The 21,776-nt window shown below is 42.6% G+C and overlaps 2 long non-coding RNA genes across 2 annotated transcripts in view, besides 2 other annotated features; one reads left to right on the forward strand and one right to left on the reverse strand.

The window, feature by feature from the left end:
• Positions 1-11,871, forward strand: part of LOC283038 (uncharacterized) — a 26,435-nt gene extending 14,564 nt beyond the window's left edge. Inside the window, exons 3-5 of the long non-coding RNA NR_033848.1 lie at positions 1,318-1,381; positions 8,776-8,877; positions 9,149-11,871. This is a non-coding gene — a long non-coding RNA (uncharacterized LOC283038). The remainder of the gene's footprint in view (positions 1-1,317; positions 1,382-8,775; positions 8,878-9,148) is intronic.
• On the reverse strand, positions 7,484-21,687 carry EDRF1-DT (EDRF1 divergent transcript). The gene is made up of 5 exons (NR_033847.1): positions 21,616-21,687; positions 13,668-13,782; positions 11,692-11,761; positions 9,595-9,953; positions 7,484-9,394 (listed from the first exon to the last, which is right to left on the reverse strand). It is a non-coding gene; the product is annotated as an EDRF1 divergent transcript (long non-coding RNA).
• Positions 21,019-21,128: an enhancer, noted in NCBI's record as "active region_4193". NCBI's record gives its function as "activates an Ori minimal core promoter by ATAC-STARR-seq in GM12878 lymphoblastoid cells {active_cell/tissue: GM12878}" and the evidence as "EXISTENCE:reporter gene assay evidence [ECO:0000049][PMID:35858748]".
• Positions 21,609-21,688: an enhancer, noted in NCBI's record as "active region_4194". NCBI's record gives its function as "activates an Ori minimal core promoter by ATAC-STARR-seq in GM12878 lymphoblastoid cells {active_cell/tissue: GM12878}" and the evidence as "EXISTENCE:reporter gene assay evidence [ECO:0000049][PMID:35858748]".

Genomic DNA, 21,776 nt, shown 5'->3' on the forward strand with positions numbered 1-21,776 from the left:
GGCAGAGTTACCCTCAGGTAAGAGCACAAGCTTTGGAGGTAGCCAGCCTGGTTTTGCACCCTAGTACTGCCGCTTATTAGACGTGCCATACTGGGCAAGTTATTTAACCTTTTCATGCATCAGCTTCTCATCTATAAACGATAGTGCCTATGTGGGAATGCAGTGGTGGTTGAAGAAAGGAGAAAAGGGCCCAGGACATCAGAAATGGGTAGGACTAGAGCTAGGGGAGCGGTACAGCTTGGAGGCTCTGGAAGTGAGTCCTGGAGTCAGGGCTTTGAGACATGAGAGGAGGCTATGGCAGAGGCACATGTTCTCTGTGCAAATCCAAGGAGCCCACCAGGAAGACCCCGAATTCCCATTACTGGCGTATCCACCGACTCTTGCATGTCCTGACCTCCTTGGAGGCTGCCTCTCGCTCTCATTTTCTTTTCTGCTCAGACACCTACAGCTGTGTTGGTAGCTGCCCTTCTAATGGCTTGGGGGTGGGGGAGCACAGCCAGGGGGCACGTAGCTGGGATGAGGGTGAAGAGGAGTGCTATGGAGAAGGGGTCTCAAGTACTAAATTGAAGCCGGGAAGGCTCAAAGGCAAATATGGATTCTCTACAGCTCTGATGGAAAGCCTTGCTCCAATCTGAATTCTGGTCTTCCAAGAAAAATCACAAGCAATGACAGGCTCTTTAATATGGGTTCCAGCCACAGGCCAGAGATCAAACGTCGCTGAACCAGTGTGAGGAAAAGAATGGCAGGCAGACGTCTTCTTTTTCCGCACACAGACTGTAATCAGCTCTCCACAAGGTCATCCCAGAACACCAAGGACAGTCCAGATACCTCCAGGCTCTCCTCAGTAATGGACGGAAGCAGTGGTGCAGATAATCTGCCCAAATGGCGGGTAATCCAAAAGCCATTTCTATCTGGCCTTGGGAGAAGCTTCTGTGCTCGTTCTGAGTGTGGGTGTGTGTGAGCCTCCCTGCCAGGTCCATGTGCACAGTGAGGCTGCTCTCAGGGAAGGTGTCCTCCTGCTGGCAGCAGGGGCCATGGGTACTGGCAGGGAGTTGGCGATGGAGAGGACAGTTCAGGAAGAAAAGGGTGCAGGTGGGCTCCATTTGGCCTCCTTCCTTGGTCCATTCTCATCTTCCTGGGCCCTGCGGATGCATGGCCTGGGCTGCTTTGCCCTCTGGCTTTCAAGCTGGTTTGAGCTATAAGAGATGGAGCAGAGAAAGGAGAGGAAGGCCAGCATCTTTCTTCCCTGCTTCCTTCAGGCTCTGGCATCCGGTGCAGTCTTGCTCGTCATCTCCGCTTCCCTCTGCTTCTTCCCAGGCTCCAGTTCTCCCTGGATTCCAGGAACACCATCTCCTTCCTCGTCCCTTCCATCCCAGGGAAGGTAAGAGAACTTACATTCGATAGAGAAAACACTGTTTTTTTAACCAAAGCTATGTGGGAGTGGGGACTGGGAGTGTATGTAGAAAGGCAGGGAGTTGATTATGCTTAAGTCCTTGTCTATCTAATTTACCGTGCCTAGAAGTAAAAAGATAATGTAAGAACAGACACATCAAAAAATAGCTGCCCAGAACTGAAAACAAGGACTTGAATAGATGTTTGTACACCTATGTTCATAGCAGCATCATTCACAGTAGCCACAGGCAGAAGAAAACTAAATGTCCATCGACAGATGAAGAGAAACAAAATGTTACATATAAAAACAATAGAATATTATTCAATCTTAAAAAGGAATGAAATTCTGTACAACGTGGATGAAACTCGAGGACATTATGCTAAGTGAAATAACCCAGTCTCAAAAGGACAAATATCATACGATTCCACTTACATGAGATACCTAAAATAGGCAAATTTATAGCGACAAAAAGTAGAGTAGTGGTTACCAGGCCCTGGGGACAAAGGGGAATGGTGAGTTATTGGTTAATGGGGACTGAGTTTCTGTTTATGAAGATGAAAGCATTCTGGAGATGGATAGTGGTGATGATTGCATGACATTGTAGATGTACTTAATGTTAGTGAATTGGACACTTAAAATAGTTAAAGTGGTTAAAAAATAGCTGTGTAAGAATACTATTTAAAGTTATGGTGGTGACTGTCAGGAGCAGGGGTGGAGAGGGGTTGTGAGTGCTTAGCACCAGGAAGTGATACTCGGGGGCTGGAGGAATACTGCAAGAGAATGCTACCTCTCACTGCAATCCTTTCAGTGCTATTTTACTTTAGAGGTACAGTTAACACTGATACAGTGCTTACGACCTGCCAGGCATGCTTTGCACACTTACATATGTGCTCATTTAATCCTCCTATCAATGCCATGATGCAGTAGCGCTACCTGTGAGGATCTGCATTTTGCAGAAAAGGAAACAGAGATACTCACGTGGTAAGGCCTCCATCTCAGGCAGCTGCCCAGAGGCCCTGCTCTTAATCATCCTACTTTGCTGCACATATATGACTGGGATGAAAGAAAAAAATTAATTTTAAAAATATGCTGCGGTGAATATCCTTGTATACATATTTTATGTGCTTGTGTGAGGATATCAGACTCCTAGAAGTGAAATAACCTCAAGTTTTACAACAGACAAAACATGGCATTCAATTCATCTTTTGGATATAAAAACTATTAGAACACTGATACTGACATTGTACTCATTTTATTATAGAATTGAAGCACAGAAGCAAACGACCTCTCTTTGTATTCATGATTTTCAACAGGTCTCCTGGTTCTTCTAGCCCCTCTAACTTCCTCTCATCTCTCCTGTAACAACAATGATCAGAATGATACCTGAGGAATAAACCATAAGAAAAATGAGCATTGAGAGGGTAAATCAAGCTTCCTTTAGAAAGAGAGGAAAATAATTTTGCAGTTGCGAAACATGTTGAAATATTATTTTTACAGTGAAAACAGTTACATCACAAGTTTAAATTACATTTCCATTTGAAATGGAGTCGATTTGCACCACCTACTGGAATATACAGCTCCATATAGTCAGAGGTTTAAAATTACAAAACCACTTTTAAGAATTCAGAGTTACATTTCTAGTTATCTTTAAGAGACCAGCTCCTTTGACATGTTGGAAATGCCAAACACTAATTTACTTCAGGGACTATTTTCTAAAACAAACTCTTTAGAAGCCAAATTTAATCATCTAGCTAAATTAACAAATTGTACAACTGCTTATAAAAATAAAATGATTAAGCCAAATACATCAACCAAACAGATACAAATGTAAATTAGAAGCAAAACTGAAATCAATATACATTATCAGTTGCTAAATCACTATTGAAAAACAGAATTCAAGCAGACAACTGGAAAACGACAGGAAACGTAAGGCAAACAGGATAATAAACAGAACATAACTCAACATTAATTTAAAAAGAACTCACCCAATGAAAATTTGATAGTGTTTACATCCAAAGTAATAATCTCTGTCATGGCTTAATTACAGCCTGAACATCAATATACGAAGTATTCATATTTAGGCTCTTTGGCATTTTAAAGGAAACCCCAACAAAAATTTTCATTTTTTTATGACAAACAACTCCAAGCAATAAATTTCTCAATATATAGTAGCAACATTTATTATATAATTGACAAGAATTCATGGAAAAAATTACATCTACAGTATCTGCTATTCTAGATCAAATTGCTTTAGAATAGAAGCCTAAATATATTACATTTTAATTTCTTGAAACCTATTACAGCATTTCACTTATTTTATGGGTATTTTGTCTGAAAATTGATTTTATTTTTATATGTCAACTAAATTAGATGTCAACTAAATTAACTGAAGCATAAAATATGCTGGCAAGATATCTTTACAAATACACGGCACAAAATGCTGTGCAAGTCACAAGAACCTGATTTAAAGTCACAGGCATACAAAGACCTGGGCAGAGTGACCAACTGATCCACAGTCCTCCTTGTGGTTGCAAGTGATTTGTGTATGACAAGCAGGTTTACAGTGACAAATGTCAGATGCAAGGTTGCTAGAAGGTTTGCCTGTCTCATTTTAGTTCACTGCTTGTGTGATTTCATTTCTAAAGTTCTCATCCACATTGGAAAGCTTGGACTGTTTCATTTCTACCAGGTAGGCAGGCAGGTACCTTTCCCCAGGTATCGCCTCCATGGCTTACCTCTCATGGGGATGGCTCCTACATATTTTAAATCTGCAGCCCCAATCTCTCCCTCTCTCCCCCGCCCTTTTTTTTGAGAGTGAGTCTCACTCTTTCGCCCAGGCTGGAGTGCAGTGGTGTAATCTCAGCTCACTGCAACCTCCACCTCCCGGGTTCAAGCGATTCTTCTGCCTCAGCCTCCCGAGTAGCTGGGATTACAGGTGCCCGCCACCATACCCAGCTAATTTTTGTATTTTATTAGAGATGAGGTTCCACCATGTTGGCCAGGCTGGTCTCGAACTCCTGATCTCAAGTGATCCGCCCACCTCGACCTCCCAAAGTGCTGGGATTACAGGCGTGAGCCACCATGCCCAGCCCCAACCTCTTTTCATAGCTTGGCAGTACCTGCTCGTGTCTACTTGCTGCCCTCTCAGATGTCCCAAAGGCATCTCAAAATGCACATGTCCCAAAGCCAGCTCATGAACTCCCCGGACTTCAGTCCTCATCCTCTCTCAGTGTCCCCAGCTCATCCATCCCATTTGATATGATTTGGCTCTGTGTCCCCACCCAAATCTCATCTAGAATTGTAATGCCTACCTATCAAAGGAGGGACCTGGCAGAAGGTGATTGGATCATGGGGGCAGTTTCCCTCATGCTGTTCTCGTGATAGTGAGTTCTCATGAGATCTGACGGTTTTTAAAGTGTGGCACCCCACCCCGTACTGCTGCCATGTGAGACATGCCTTGCTTCCCCTTTGCCTTCTGCCATGACTGTAAGTTTCCTGAGGCCTCCCTCACCATACAGAACTGTGAGTCAATTAAAACTCTTTTCTTTATAAATGACCCAGTCTCAGATAGTTATTTATAGCAGTGTGAAAACAGACTAATACATGGTTCATCCAACTAGATATGCCTGGTACCTACTTTGCTCCTCAGTCCTAACCCAATCCATACCCAAAGCCCTGGCCATCTGACTTTCTACATCCCCCTGAAGCCTGTCTGCCTCACTCCATCTCCTCCTCTCCGCTACTATTCCAAAGAATTATCAGGTCTAATGGAATCAACCTAAATGCCCACCAATGACAGATCGGATTTAAAAATCTGGTACATATTCACCGTGGAATACTATGCAGCCATAAAAATGGAATGGGCTCATGGCTTTTGTGGGAACACAGATGGAGCTAGAGGCAAATTATTATTCTTAGCAAATTAATGGAGGGACAGAAAACCAACTATTGCATGTTCTCACTTATAAGTGAGAGATGAATGGGCCAGGCGTGGTGGCTCACGCCTGTAATCCCAGCACTTTGGGAAGCCGAGGCAGGCGGATCATGAGGTCAGGAGATTGAGACCATCCTGGCTAACAAGGTGAAACCTGATCTCTACCAAAAATACAAAAAAATTAGCTGGGTGCGGTGGCAGGCGCCTGTAGTCCCAGCTACTCGGGAGGCTGAGGCAGGAGAATGGCATGAACCTGGGAGGCGGAGCTTGCAGTGAGCCAAGATGGCAACACTGCACTCCAGCCTGGGCGACGGAGCGAGACTCCCTCTCAAAAAAATAAAAATAAGTAGGAGCTAAATGATAAGAACTTATGAACACAATGAAGGAAACAGCAGAAAAGGTAACTATTGGGTACTGGGCTTAATACCTGGGTGATGAAATAATCTGTACAACAAACCCAGTGACATGCATTTACCTGTGTAACAAATCCTTACATGTACCCTCAAACCTAAAATAAAAGTTAAAAAAAACACACAATACTGTTATCAGAAAACATTAATTCCTTAATATTATCAAATGTCTACTTAATATTTACATATTTCACATTTCTTTGTCTAATATTTTGCTTTTCTTAAAAAAAAAAAAAAAAGGGAAAAAGAACAGTTTTAGCCTGGACTGATTTAGCAGCCTGGTCTAGCCTCATTGCCCCTGATTATGTGGCCCCTGGCTAAAAGCCTTTTACCGTGGATAGACCTAGTTTCCTAGTAAGGCCACAGAGGCCTTTCCTAATCTGGTGCCCACTGCCTGTCCAGCCCAACTCACACCTGAGCCCCATGTCCTCTTAGCTTTTCATGCCTCACTCTGGCTGTGCTCTCCACTGCTGCTAGGACTTTGCCCAGTTTTCTCTCCACCTGAAATTCTCTTCTCTTTTCTTCTTTGCAAAGTGACCTCCTCCTAACTTTCCTGACTGAGTCAACTCAGAGTTGCAAATTTACATTTTAGGGGGCACTTATTTGAAAGTCTGTGTGCCCCCACTGGACGGCTTTTACTCACCTTTGTGTTCCCAGCACCCAGCACATGACCTGCACATGGGAAATATGGAATGATTCACTCAGACCAGAGCCAGAGAGGTGCCTGCCCTGGGCCCCATGAGGCTGCGGTTCCACTCTGGCCCTCCTCTGACCATCACTCCCCACATAGGGTGAGAAGACAGGTGCACGTGGAGCTCCAGGGAACCGGCCCTAACGGCTCCAAGCCTGCTTTGAGGGCCTGTCCCCAAGATGATTGGGCATACGCACCCCAACCCAGAGGGGTGGCCAAGGGACAGCTGTTATGAAGGCAAGAGGATATAACATATTTAATAGCTTCCAAGGGGCAGCTGTTATGAAGGTGTATTTATCAAGGAAGGAGGCTAGAACAGATTTTCTTTAATAATGAGTTAGCTTAATTTATAAAAACTTCAACTATTTGGACATATGCTATTCAGACCTCCATGCACAGTTTTCCCAAAGGCCTGCAAATGTTAGCACAGAGTTTTTGGCTTCACAAGTATCTGAGAATAAACTTTATATCAACACTTATATCGAGATGATTCCCTGTACCCCTTTTGAAATCTGAGTTCAAAAGAGAATTGACTCTTAAAAAAGTCAATACGATTCCCTGGCCGGGCGCGGTGGCTCACGCCTGTAATCCCAGCACTTTGGGAGGCCGAGGCGGGCAGATCACGAGGTCAGGAGATCGAGACCATCCTGGCTAACATGGTGAAATCCCGTCTCTACTAAAAATACAAAAAAATTAGCCAGCATGGTGGCAGGCGCCTGTAATCCCAGCTACTTGGGAGGCTGAGGCAGGAGAATGGTGTGAACCCGGGAGGTGGAGCTTGCAGTGAGCCGAGATCGTGCCACTGCACTCCAGCCTGGGCGACAGAGCGAGACTCTGTCTCAAAAAAAAAAAAAAAGTCAATACAATTCCCCAAACTCATTGATAATCATAATGAATTGGGGGGGGGGGGCGGTGGAAGAGAGCAGGGATAAGATATTGAAGCCATTCAGTATGAAAAGCGTGTTCCAAAATCATTATATGACACCAAAATTCTGAAAAAAAAATGTTATTTGGGTAGTGGGACCATGAATTTCCTTGCCTTTTCACATTTTACTAATTTGAGTTTTCTTTAATAAATATGCTTAAATTTGTAACAAGAATCTTATCCTTTTGAAAAATCAAGTTACCATTCCATTTCACGTATAGAATATGAACATTTTGCCCGAGTCTGTCACCTTTGTCATCCCTCGCGTGAAAGCAGTGCTAGGAATTTTCTGTCTATATATTTGCTTTGCTAGAGGCAAAAACAGTACATTTTCAGATCACATTGGAAAAGGACTATGGCTTAACTTCCATTTTATGTAGTGAGAGTCATGGACATACTTCATTTATAGGTTAAAACAATGTGGTGCCTGGCTGGTGGACCTGGAGTCCACTGGATTTTAGGCAGCTACCTGCATTTTCTTTTATTGCCCCTACTACCTAATTTCCATTAGGCCCACTTTGATTTCCTTTCAGTTTCCTAATTGGGGTCTGGAGTTGTTTTTTTTTTAATAGCCATGCTTCTAGAAATCCAGTTTTCTTTTTCCTTAGAAATAATAATTGTTTATTATTAAGCTAGAAAAAGCCCAAGGGTTTCTTTGAGAGCCCAATTGCCTACCTCCTCCACCCCAGAACCCCCATGGGGCCCCTTGCACCATGTGTTCTCGCTGCTAGGCTCGCCTGTCCCCCACTGCCATTCCCACCTGCACACTTGAGTGTTTTGCAGTCACCGTCCCACTGTCTGCCCAGGTTTCCAAGTCCCTCTCCAATGCCTCAGGCTTCACGACCCTTCCTGATCCTCTTCCACTGTTACCATTCCCAGCCCAGTGTGTTTGTCATGCCTTGTAACCTCCACCACACCTTGTACCTTTCCTTTCCCTGTGGCCACATTCTGCCTTTCCTGAGTGAATACTTGCTGTGGTCCTCGTCGCACACCCAGAACTAGAGCACTGAACCCTGTAGGCCAGAAACCATGATTGACTGATATGTTGAATCCAGCACTAAGCCTAGGACTCAATAAGTAACTGATGAATTGAACTAAATTAAGCATACCTTGTTTGGTCAATCTGCAACATTTCTCTCAAAATTACTTACAACTCTTTCTTGAGAAAGAAAGAGTCTTTTCCTAGCCAACCCAGCAGACTGTCTGACTTAAGACCATGATTGACAGACAGAAGAACGTGGCCAGAAAAAAATGCAACTGAGAGGATTAAATGAAATATAACTAGGGATGAGCTACTTTTGATAATAATCTGGAGCGGGGATGAAAGTAGGGAAAACGGACTTAGACGGCCCATTGATCGCTGTTGATGGTGGGTGATGGTGACGGCCCCTGGGGGTTCCTTTTACTGTTCTCTCTACTTAGGTTTACACTGAAAATTTTTTGTGATGAAAAGATTTGAAGAAGATGACAGGAGATGGAGAAGCACCAGCTGATCTGCAGACTCCAAGGAGGTCCCAGGAAGAGGTATAAAGGAAGGAATCTGAGACATGGTTCTTCCTCCCTGTGGGTACCATCCCTTCCTGTGGCAGCTCTCCTGTTCTCTAAGCACCTCGATCCCCCCAACCCCACTCATTTATATGGACCTGGCACTCAGATCTTTCACCCGTATAATGCCACTCCAGGCTCTGCCTCTTGGGTAGTGTCCTATGTCCTAGAATATTCCCAGATGAGAATGGGACCCCTTAGGTAGAGCTGTGTGCTCTGCCTCACCTAATCCAGCTGGCAACCCCCATAGGTGTCATCCACTAAGATCTTCTGGGACAGGAAAGCCCTGTGATACCTCTTACATCACACCAAACAGAGCCCCACACCAAGAAAAGAGCTGCCCACACCTCACAGAAGCCATGTTAGTGGACATTTCTCCACTCTGGAAGCCTTCCTGCGTGGTGGAGGCCAGTGCAGACCATCCTCTGCCCAGAAGAGTTGCATTCTAAATGACCCCTCAGAGAGCCCTCTGGATGGCCGCCTCTCCCACAGGTCCCTGCAATCACATAAAAAACACTCATTGCAGCCAAGATGCACAAAGCACAGTATTGATTTCATACTCAGGTTTTTCCAAAACAAATCATAAACCCACACCAATTATGTCCAATCAGTTTTATGGATAAAGAAGCCTGAGACTCTCCAACAGGAGAGCTTGAGTTTCCCTTCTCACTCTTGTGCTGGGTGTCCTTTTCCTACCTCCAGACCATCACAAGGATATCTGTAATGTAGATGAGGCCAGTCCTTTTGCCCAATGTTGACAGACAAGAGGAAGATTCCAGGGAGAAATGCCGCAGCAGCAAATGAATATGAATGATGCTTTTCCACTTTGTGCTTATAAAATGCCTTTTGTACCAGAATCTCAAAGCTCTCCAGGAAGCAAGGCTTTGAATGGGACTTTCACTCGGGGTAAACATGAGTGGTCGGAGCTTCCCAAGTCATTTGTGATAAGAAAGAACAAAAGTCCGGGCACTTTTAAAATGCAATATTCTTGCCTTCTGGGTAGTAAACAAAGTGTGCAGATGGATAATGACATCTGTGGATTCTGGCTCCACTTCCTAGAGAGAAAAAAAACATGTAAATAAATACGTAAAAAATTGTCATATGTGGATGACACCCTTGGTTCATCCAGTAGTTACCATTCTGCCTAACATTCACGAGCTATGGATTCTATTACTGGGTCCCTTGTGACTGCATTACACTGAGAAAGTAAAATATATTTCTCTTCAATGCCTGAGGGAAGATAAATGTTATAGAAATGTTTAGTAAAAAGGTCCAGTCAGTGGCTTTGACACTTGATGCTTTTGCACTAAGCAGTGCTGTCCTTTTGTTCTCTCCATTGGAAGCCTCCTTGTAAATGTTTAATAGCTAAATGACTCACCAGAGTCTGCAAAGGTCAGGCCCTTAACTGGAAAGGCAGAGGGGAACTCAGAAGCAGTCTCTATCAGATTGATTGGAAGGTTCATTTGAGAATTCTTTCCTTCTCATCCTTAGTTTAAGGTGCACATGCAGCATGAATAACTGCCTGGGCTCCAGCCACCGACATGCCTGAACAGCAGACATTAGTGACTCTGACACTCTTCCTAGGATTCATTCAGGGTATTAATCAGCTTCAGAGGAAAACTCACAAACACTCTAAGAAGAATTCTGTTGCAAAAGTGATACCTAGCAGAGACAGTCTGCCCTTGCAGTCACTTGCATTATATCCCAAAAGTCAATGCTAAGAGCTTGCAAAAGAATTTGAGTTCATCAGGTGTCCAGAAAATAAACTCCTTCAAATGCAGTCGAAATAGTTTCAATAACTTCAAATACTCTGCCTGTTATGAATCTACAGAGCAGCAATTAAATAATTATCAGTTAATGATTCAATGTCAGATACCTATAACCAAGGGTGTCTTGCTATTACACTGAAAATTACATATTAAGGTTTTGCTGGGGTGCAGAAAATGATCCCCCAAAATATAGTGCTTCGGCATGCCGAGTACTTTGAAAATCGGAAGGTTTTAGAAATCAGCCTTAGACCCAAGCTCTCTTTCTGACTTTCCTTACCTCCTTGTTTCTCTGATCCTCTTTCTAGAAGCACCTGGAGGGACTGGACTGACTCTCTGGAATTTTCTTATCTAACAAAGCTTCTTTCCAAAAAAAAAAAGGCAATTGTCTTAAGACCACCCCCCCCATCTTTAGGAATCTCATCAAATGACCAGGAAAGAAGCAAAGAGACGGAGTTGTCACTATACCCAGATAGACTACTCATCTATTCTCGAGGGCAGGTCTGACAACCTTTGTGCAAGGTGACGTTTCACTCCTCACCTTCCCAACACCTCCCCCAGAGCTCAGAGGAACTTTTGTCATTTACTCCTACACACCTCATCCCCGCCTTCCCTAAGAAGAGAGGGTAGACAGGCATCTGGACCCTGCTGGGTTATTAGGCCATTACTCTTCTGCAATTCCCCATGGTATGCACGTTAAAATAAACGCATGCCTTTTCTCCTGTTGCTCTGCCTTTTTCAGTTCATTTTCAGCAAACCTTCAGAGGGTGAAAGGGGAAGTTTTCTTCTTTGTCCCTACATTTTGCATTGTCTTATACCTTGACATTTTTCTACTCGTCAAGTTAAACTGTAAAGCAAAATATAGATCATTAGCTGACTAATTATTTTTGAGTTAAAAAGTAGCTAGCATTTGGTTTTGGGTACCACAGTGTGTCTAATATAGTCTTTTTAGAAGCAATGATCTATAAACATTTTTTATCATTCACCATTTCTGGTTGAGTAAAGTGACTCACAGTTGTAGTCCTACCTATTCAGGACGCTGAGGCAGGAGGATCACTTCAGCCGAGGAAGGAGTTCAAGTCCAGCCTGGACGGTCTCTAAAAATATTAAAATTTAAAAAAAATTCTGAACATGCAACCCCAATATGTATTTATTTGTAAATGATATACTGTCACTAATACATTGACATTAAACAAGTAGAAAACAATGTAACATTTTAATTTATTGACTGATAATTAGTTCTATTTTCATTAATATTTTTTAAAAGAGCAAAACTGCTGAATAGGCTTCTTTTATTTTTGAGAATCTTTGTTGAAAACTTTGTGGTGTAACAGTTTGAGGTCTCCTTCCAAGTCAAGTTTATTTTAAAATGTGGTTTTAATGGCTGTCGTCACTTAAAATATCTCAAAAGATAAGCAAGCCTACTTGAAAAAATCACCCGGTCTCAGGGTTTACTAAATCAAACTGCTCATTTCGGTTGTATGCACAAATCACGCACAGGTTTTAACTGAAATTTAATTAGTTAAATTTCCATCTTCTTTGAAGTCCATCAGTCTTTTTTTTAACAAACCAATTAAACAGTATCAAGGAATAACTCAGAGATTTTTAGTTAGTTGTTTTATATGCAATTTGTTTACTTGTACAAGAAGAAAGGTCAATAGACTGTTGTCATGGAACAAAATTCAAAACAGGATGTATAACAGATAGGAGAGAGAAAAACCTGCTGGCAGCCTGGGAATCGTGAATCTTGCAGGCATATTTTTGGGGTAAACAAATCAGTTGGCAGCTGATAAAGAGATCAGTCTGGGCGTTCTGGGTAGGACAACTAGTATCAAAGAAAACAATTAAGTGTGGACAGATTTTTCGAACCCCCTGATGGTATGGCTGAGGAGCATATGAGGCTTGCTGCCTCTGGACGAGCTCTGCTGGCTCTCTTCCCTTCGCACGCCTTAAGTAAGCCAGAACTGCGCCACTGTCCTCCTTAGAATTCCTCAATATATTTAAAACTCAACCTCTCCATTTGGAAGATTTCTAAAAGAGGTTAGGAATTTCAGTTTCTAAGATAAGTGTGCAGATATGAGTTTTTATAAGCAATATACATCATTTTTAGAGACAAAAATCACATAATGTTGGAAAGATTTCCAAACATCTACTTTCAAAAATGCTCTCCATAAGATTCTTTTGAAAACCAAATACTGGCCGGGCGCAGTGGCTCATGCCTGTAATCCCAGCATTTTGGGAGGCCGAGGTGGGTGGATCACCTGAGGTCAGGAGTTCGAGACCAGCCTGGCCAACATGGTGAAACCCCGTCTCTACTAAAAATACAAAAAATTAGCCAGGCATGGTGGCAGGCACCTGTAATCCTAGCTACTCAGGAGGCTGAGGCAGGAGAATTGCTTGAACCCAGGAGGCAGAGGTTGCAGTGAGCCGAGATAGCGCCACTGCACTCCAGCCTGAGCAACAAGAGCAAAACTCTGTCTCAAAAAAAAAAAAATAAATAAAACCCAAATACTTTCCCACTCATTGTTAAAATATCACCTTTGTTTTGAAGAAAGAGATTGAGTCTGTTTGTTTTTGTGAAACTTTCTCCTGGGTATCATCCTAATGACAGCTTCATGTCATCACAGATGAGAAAATGTAGAACACTCCTTATAAAAGAAAATATAGTAACTAACTCATTTTCAAGCTTGACAATTCTTTTGAATGCTTTACCACTGATGATCTGTGATCTCTGTGTGGTACAAGATTTTCAAGGTCGCTCCTTGCTGTGGTCTGGATATATATACGTCCCCACCAAACTCATGCTGAAATTTGATCTCATTGTGGTAGTGTTGGGGGTTGGGGCCTAATGGGAGGAGTTCAGGTCATGAGGGCTCTGTCCTCTTGGGTGGCTTGGTGCTGTTCTCATGGCAGTGAGTTCTTGCTCTGGCAAGACTGGATTAGTTCTCTCAGGAATTGGTTAGTTCCTGCAAGAGTGGGTTATTATGAAGTCAGAACACCCACCTGGTTTTGCCTTTCTTCACACATGTCCATTTACCCATTGATCTTCTCTGCCATATTATGACGCAGCCTGAAACCTCTCACCAGAAGCTAGAGCCATGTGCTTGAACTTCCCAGCCTGCAGAACCATGAACTAAATCAACCTTTTTTAAAAATAAATTACCCAATCTTAGGTATTCTGTTATCATGATGCAAAACAGACTAAGACATCCCTCATCACAAAACTCTGAAAAGATTCTGCAAAAGGCCTTGTTTTTTCACCAAATTTAGCCTTGTGAATGGCACCCAATAGCCTATCCAAGCCACCATATATGCCTGTGGTAGACTGCATAATGGTTACGGATAACCAACATTCCTCCTTAGGATCCAGTCTCCCCTGCCACATGTATGCTTGGCTTGGCTATGTGATTTATTTGGCCAAAAAAAGGTGAATGACAGTGATGTTTGCCACTTCTGACCAAAAGCCTTTGTAGCTAGTCTGCAATGCACCAATCTCTTTTTGTCTCTCTGCTACTGCAACTGGCAATGCTCCAGATTGAAGCTGCTTCATCAGATGGGACATACTTATGCTAAATATTTGGGACATTCTCATCCTAAAAATTTTTTCACCGTTTATCTGAAATTCAAATTTAACTTTGCGTCCTGTTCTTTCTCTGGCTAACCCAGTTGTAAGCCACTGACACTTAGGGATCATTTGTTTTGTCAGCATAGCCCAATCTTATTTGACTAGCTCACCATGGCCCAAGGAAGAGCACCTGTGTCAATCTGTATATTACATACTAGTAAAGCTTAATTTTGCCCTTACTTTTCATATTAAAAAAAAAAGTTAGTCTTCCTGCACCTCAGGGGACTGTCTTTGGAGACCACTGTCCAAAGGTGTAGTCTACAGGGCAAGGTTGTCAGAAACTTAACAATTGCACTAAAAATGTAGACTAATCAGCACTACCCCAGAGATACTAGATTCTGGAGGTGGCTGCAGGATCTGTTTGCTAAACAAGTTCCTCAGGTGATTATGAGACAACTTCAAATTCCACTGGCCTATGTCTACTATTTGACTTTTTAGAAAGCTAAGTAAGTAGGAGACCTGGGTACTAGTCCTAACTTTGTATGATGTTCAACAAGTCAATCCTATTCTCCTTTCTGGACTGCATTGCTCTCATCTAAAGAGGAAAGAGATTGGCTCAGACAACCTCAAATCTCTCTTTCAGCTCTAAAAGTCCAGGATCAGGAGCCAGAAATTCAGAACCTTCTAAGGTCCAGAAAGTAAACAAATGAGGCTGGTTAGGGGTAAGACATTAGGTTGTGGAAGGGCCCAGGGCAAACTGAAAAGGATATTCCCCAAATGGTCCCTGAGTTTAGAAGGTTTTCAAGTTTGTCATGCTCTGCCAGTGGGGCTAGAGAAGAACCGTGAGTACCCTGGGCACTCGTACTTTCGGCAGGAGCCCCAACCACATTTGCCTTACTTATGAATGTCTTGCTGTAAAAGTTTTGGAAACTATACAAATAACTACATGAATTTACAAATGACTGGGATTTCTCAGAAATCACTGCATGCTGGGAGGATTTTTGCTGAGAAAGTCTAATCTACAAATTGTTTTAGAATGAAACAAACTGTATGTCAATACTAACTTTAATAATTAATGACATTGACATTGCAGTATTTTGGAGCTACTTCATTAAACATTTTTAGCTTTGATTTTGCAGATTAAAAAAATATTTTGGAGCCAACAACATTGTTTTTATGTCTCAAACATTTTGATGAGCATTTTAAAAGCCTGTCAACCCCAGTCATTTTCCCTCCGTTGCCTAAGGGCTGAAACAGTTCTGTCCGGGTGCTGTGCCTGGTGTCAGTGATCAGACGGGACACCAGCCTTTGAGGAGCTCACAGTCGGGGAGGGAGGCAGATACAAACAGGTAATTTTTCTATAATGTGACAAGTGCAGGATAAAGCAATACAAGCGACTGGAACAAAGGAAGGAACCCTGAGGGGTAAGGAGGCAGAGGTGTCAGGAGAGAAGCCAGGTGAGGAAGAAAAAGGTATTTTAGGCAGAGGAAAGCACCAGCAAACGTGGAGCTATGGAACAAGTAGCTGGAGCAGCAGACAAGCATGCTGCTCATTCATTCAACAAACACTCTTAGTAGCTAGAGCATCAGGCACTGAAGAGGCAAGTAAACACGTGAGAGCCATGGGTAGTTACAAGAGCCAGGATAACTACACAGACAAGGCAGAGCAGGCCATGGATGATGGGGTACATCCCAAGTGGGTCCCTGGGGCAGGAGGACAGAGATGGAGGAAACAGGCAGACACTGGTACAATATAAAAATGAAAATCAATTCGTGTCTGAAAACTTGAAATTCTAAGAGTAATGTCTTATTCTCCATGTTTTCCCACAAAATATTTCAACTTCCTATATTAAAAACAGTGACAATAACTTTTTAAAAAACACTACACCATGTAAAAGTGGGTTTTTTTTCCCCACTTATTTTTAAAATTTTTCCTGACCACTATGAGCTCCAGCAGCATGTGAAAGTGTTTGACTAGGGAAAAAGAAAAAATTAATAAGCCCTTAGAGCAAGAGGCATATATAAATTTTATGTAACCCACATGTGCCCAATTGTTCCAGCCCCCAGGGATCATGCTCCTTTACGAACTAAATTACAGTACTGTAATCCTGGTCCTGTGTGTGGCTGCTGGAGACCCAGCCCCGACTCAGGCTTTCCTCCACAGTCAGTCCTAAGGGTCACTGGTCACCCTTAGAGCTCCCATTATCCTCTGTGTGCTCCCAACCTCTCTTTCTGTGCTGACTTCCTGGTTCTGTTTCATACTTTGTCTTTTCACAAGCTATTTCCGGCACATTTTCCCACTAAGCATCATCAACACGTGTCTAGGCACTCACTTCTCAAGAAGCATGCAAAATATTTGAATCCTGAGAAAAGAATCACTGCTATTTCTTTCTTACAAAGATAGAATTACACAATAAAACAACAGAATTTAAAGATTATCACAAGCTGAATTATGTATGTGTGTAAAAGCTTAACAAAATTACATATTATAATAATCAGAAATAAAAATAGGAAAAGAAAATATTAAAGAATAAATTTTATTTTATTTTAATTTATTCTTATACTTTAAGTTTTAGGGTACATGTGCACAATGCGCAGGTTAGTTACATATGTATACATGTGCCATGCTGGTGTGCTGCACACATTAACTCGTCATTTAGCATTAGGTATATCTCCTAATGCTATCCCTCCCCCCTCCCCCCACCCCACAACAGTCCCCAGAGTGTGATGTTCCCCTTCCTGTGTCCATGTGTTCTCATTGTTTAATTCCCACCTATGAGTGAGAACATGCGGTGTTTGTTTTTTTGTCCTTGCGACAGTTTACTGAGAATGATGATTTCCAATTTCATCCATGTCCCTACAAAGGATATGAACTCATCATTTTTTATGGCTGCATAGTATTCCATGGTGTATATGTGCCACATTTTCTTAATCCATTCTATCATTGTTGGACATTTGGGTTGGTTCCAAGACTTTGCTATTGTGAATAGTGCCGCAATAAACATACGTGTGCATGTGTCTTTATAGCAGCATGATTTATAGTCTTTTGGGTATACACCCAGTAATGGGATGGCTGGGTCAAATGGTATTTCTAATTCTAGATCCCTGAGGAATCGCCACACTGACTTCCACAATGGTTGAACTAGTTTACTGTCCCACCAACAGTGTAAAAGTGTTCCAATTTCTCCACATCCTCTCCAACACCTGTTGTTTCCTGACTTTTTAATGATTGCCATTCTAACTGGTGTGAGATGGTATCTCATTGTGGTTTTGATTTGCATTTCTCTGATGGCCAGTGATGGTGAGCATTTTTTCATGTGTTTTCTGGCTGCATAAATGTCTTCTTTTGAGAAATGTCTGTTCATGTCCTTCGCCCACTTTTTGATGGGGTTGTTTTTTTCTTGTAAATTTGTTTGAGTTCATTGTAGATTCTGGATATTAGTCCTTTGTCAGATGAGTAGGTTGCGAAAATTTTCTCCCATTTTGTAGGTTGCCTGTTCCCTCTGATGGTAGTTTCTTTTGCTGTGCAGAAGCTCTTTAGCTTAATTAGATCCCATTTGTCAATTTTGGCTTTTGCTGCCATTGCTTTTGGTGTTTTAGACATGAAGTCCTTGCCCATGCCTATGTCCTGAATGGTAATGCCTAGGTTTTCTCCTAGGGTTTTTATGGTTTTAGGTCTAACGTTTTAAGTCTTTAATCCATCTTGAATTGATTTTTGTATAAGGTGTAAGGCAGGGATCCAGTTTCAGCTTTCTACATATGGCTAGCCAGTTTTCCCAGCACCATTTATTAAATAGGGAATCCTTTACCCATTGCTTGTTTTTCTCAGGTTTGTCAAAGATCAGATAGCTGTAGATATGCGGCGTTATTTCTGAGGGCTCTGTTCTGTTCCATTGATCTATATCTCTATTTTGGTACCACCATGCTGTTTTGGTTACTGTAACCTTGTAATATAGTTTGAAGTCAGGAAGTGTGATGCCTCCGGCTTTGTTCTTTTGGCTTAGGATTGACTTGGCAATGCGGGCTCTTTTTTGGTTCCATATGAACTTCAAAGTAGTTTTTTCCAATTCTGTGAAGAAAGTCATTGGTAGCTTGATGGGGATGGCATTGAATCTGTAAATTACCTTGGGCAGTATGGCCATTTTCACGATATTGATTCTTCCTACCCATGAGCATGGAATGTTCTTCCATTTCTTTGTATCCTCTTTTATTTCATTGAGCAGTGGTTTGTAGTTCTCCTTGAAGAGGTCCTTCACGTCCCTTGTAAGTTGGATTCCTAGGTATTTTATTCTCTTTGAAGCAATTGTGAATGGGAGTTCACTCATGATTTGGCTCTCTATTTGTCTGTTATTGGTGTACAAGAATGCTTGTGATTTTTGTACATTGATTTTGTATCCTGAGACTTTGCTGAAGTTGCTTATCAGCTTAAGGAGATTTGGGGCTGAGACAATGGGGTTTTCTAGATATACAATCATGTCATCTGCAAACAGGGACAATTTGACTTCCTCTTTTCCTAATTAAATACCCTTTATTTCCTTCTCCTGACTAATTGCCCTGGCCAGAACTTCCAACACTATGTTGAATAGGAGTGGTGAGAGAGGGCATCCCTGTCTTGTGCCAGTTTTCAAAGGGAATGCTTCCAGTTTTTGCCCATTCAGTATGATATTGGCTGTGGGTTTGTCATAGATAGCTCTTATTATTTTGAGATACAGCCCATCAATACCTAATTTATTGAGAGTTTTTAGCATGAAGAGTTGTTGAATTTTGTCAAAGGACTTTTCTGCATCTATTGAGATAATCATGTGGTTTTTGTCTTTGGTTCTGTTTAAATAACTAAAATCAGAGCAGAACAGAAGGAAATAGAGACACAAAAAACCCTTCAAAAAATTAATGAATCCAGGAGCTGGTTTTTTGAAAGGACCAACAAAACTGATAGACTGCTAGCAAGACTAATAAAGAAGAAAAGAGAGAAGAATCAAATAGATGCAATAAAAAATGATAAAGGGGATATCACCACCGATCCCACAGAAATACAAACTACCATCAGAGAATACTACAAACACCTCTATGCAAATAAACTAGAAAATCTAGAAGAAATGGATAAATTCCTCGACACATACACCCTCCCAAGACTAAACTAGGAAGAAGTTGAATCTCTGAATAGACCTATAACAGGCTCTGAAATTGTGGCAATAATCAATAGCTTACCAACCAAAAAGAGTCCAGGACCAGATGGATTCACAGCCGAATTCTACCAGAGGTACAAGGAAGAACTGGTACCATTCCTTCTGAAACTATTCCAATCAATAGAAAAAGAGGGAATCCTCCCAACTCATTTTATGAGGCCAGCATCATCCTGATACCAGAGCCGGGCAGAGGCACAACCAAAAAAGAGAATTTTAGACCAATATCCTTGATGAACATTGATGCAAAAATCCTCAATAAAATACTGGCAAACCGAATCCAGCAGCACATCAAAAAGCTTATCCACCATGATCAAGTGGGCTTCATCCCTGGGATGCAAGGCTAGTTCAATATATGCAAATCAATAAATGTAAAGAATAAATTTTAAATCACTTCATTTTACGGCTCAGAGGTCTGTTTTGTGGACACAGAGACAGAAATGGAGACGTTTTTAAAATTAAGATCATATTGCACATTGGCTTTTTTTTTTTTATACGGAGTCTCGCTCTGCTGCCCAGGCTGGAGTGCAGTGGTGCAATCTCGGCTCACTGCCAGCTCCGTCTCCTGGGTTCACACCATTCTCCCGCCTCAGGCTCCTGAGTAGCTGGGACTACAGGTGCCTGCCACCAAACCTGGCTAATTTTGTTTTTGTATTTTTAGTAGAGACGGGGTTTCACCGTGTTAGCCAGGATGGTCTCGATCTCCTGACCTCGTGATCCACCCGCATCTGCCTCCCAAAGTGCTGGGATTACAGGCGTGAGCCACCGCGCTAGGCTGCATATTGGCTTTTTAAAATTTCACTTATCACTTAACATTATATGATATGCAATTTAAATGTTCTTAAATATTCCTGAAAAACAAGTTTATGGTTGCACAGGGTTTATTTTCTACCAAAACCAAATTTGACTATCCTCCTCCTAGTGTTAGATATTATGTTCAACTTTTCACCATAAAAAACAATGCATAACTTGCAAAAACCAAAAAAGAATTATTGGCTGCAATATTCAAATGAAATGATAAAAATCAAAATCAATACATGTTGAAGTAAATGTCTACAAAATACACTATTATATCAAATTAACTGTTAAATTTAATTCACTATTATTATTTTTTTAAGACAGAGTCTCACTATCGCCCAGGCTGGAGCGCAGTGTTGCCATCTCTGCTCACTGCAACCTCTGCCTCCCAGGTTCAAGCGATTCTCCTGCCTCAGCCTCCCTAGTAGCTGGGATTACAGGCGCCCACCACCACATCTGGCTAATTTTTGTATTTTTAGTAGAGATGGGGTTTCACCCTGTTCGTCAGGCTGGTCTCGATCTCCTGACCTCAGGCAATCTGCCCACCTCGGCCTCCCAAAGTGCAGGGATTAAAGGCGTGAGCCACCGCGCCCGGCCTGTTAAATTTAATTCATAAAATTGTTTTGTTACATTTGAAAGCAATTTGTGAGTTGAATGCTTACTCATCAGGAGCATTCCTGAAAACGGACAGGACAGTGAGTTGTAAGAGCCAAACGTGAATTACAAATTGAGACAGCCAAATTGCAAGAGCCAAGTTAATTTTTAAAAACACTTTCTGTATCTTACGGCACAACAAAACACTTTTACTACAAAACATGTATTGTATAACGGATGTGGCTGCGTTTGACAGTTTGAGATGACACTGAGGAGTGTGAAAGAGAGCCTGGACCTTCAAAGCTTGCAAACGGCCCGGGCTATTTCTCCACCTCTTCGCTACTCAAAGCGCTGGCATCGTTTCCTGGGAACCTGTGAGAAATGCCGAGTCTCGGACCCATCCAGAGCGCCCGAATGGAAACCTAGGCGTTACGAGGCCCCAGGTTCAGCGTCTCACGGGTCCTGCACCACCTGGGACGCCCCGCAAGCAGCGGGCATGCCGGGCCCCCAGAAGACTCCGAAAGCCACCCATTCCCTAAACGGGGAGGGCCTCGTCCGCGCGTCCCAGCGCCCTCCCCGGAAGCCCCGCCGCTCCCACACCCAGGATGGGGCCACATGGGCACTAAAAGGCGGGCAGGAGCGCCCAGTCTCGAGATGGCTGGCTCGCCTTTCCAGTCCGGGCCCTCGGGGTGCCCGTGTGAAAAGATGTGACACTGAAGCCTGGGGAAGAAGTTTGAACCTCTCACTAATTCACGTAACGGGAGCCGCCGGCAGCGCTGACGGCTGCACCTCCCCTCCCACGCGGACACTACCTGCAGGATCGGACGACCCCCAGAACTGTTTGCCAACAAAGACATGCAGGGGGCGGAGCCTGAGCGTCAGATACCGTGAGCGGCGTGCAGAGGGCGGAGCCTAGGAGTCAGATACCGCGAGAAGTAGTCTCCCGAAGAGGTTCGGACAAGCGCAGGCGCAC

This window comes from Homo sapiens, chromosome 10 (assembly GCF_000001405.40).
Source record: "Homo sapiens chromosome 10, GRCh38.p14 Primary Assembly".
Taxonomy (NCBI): domain Eukaryota; kingdom Metazoa; phylum Chordata; class Mammalia; order Primates; family Hominidae; genus Homo; species Homo sapiens.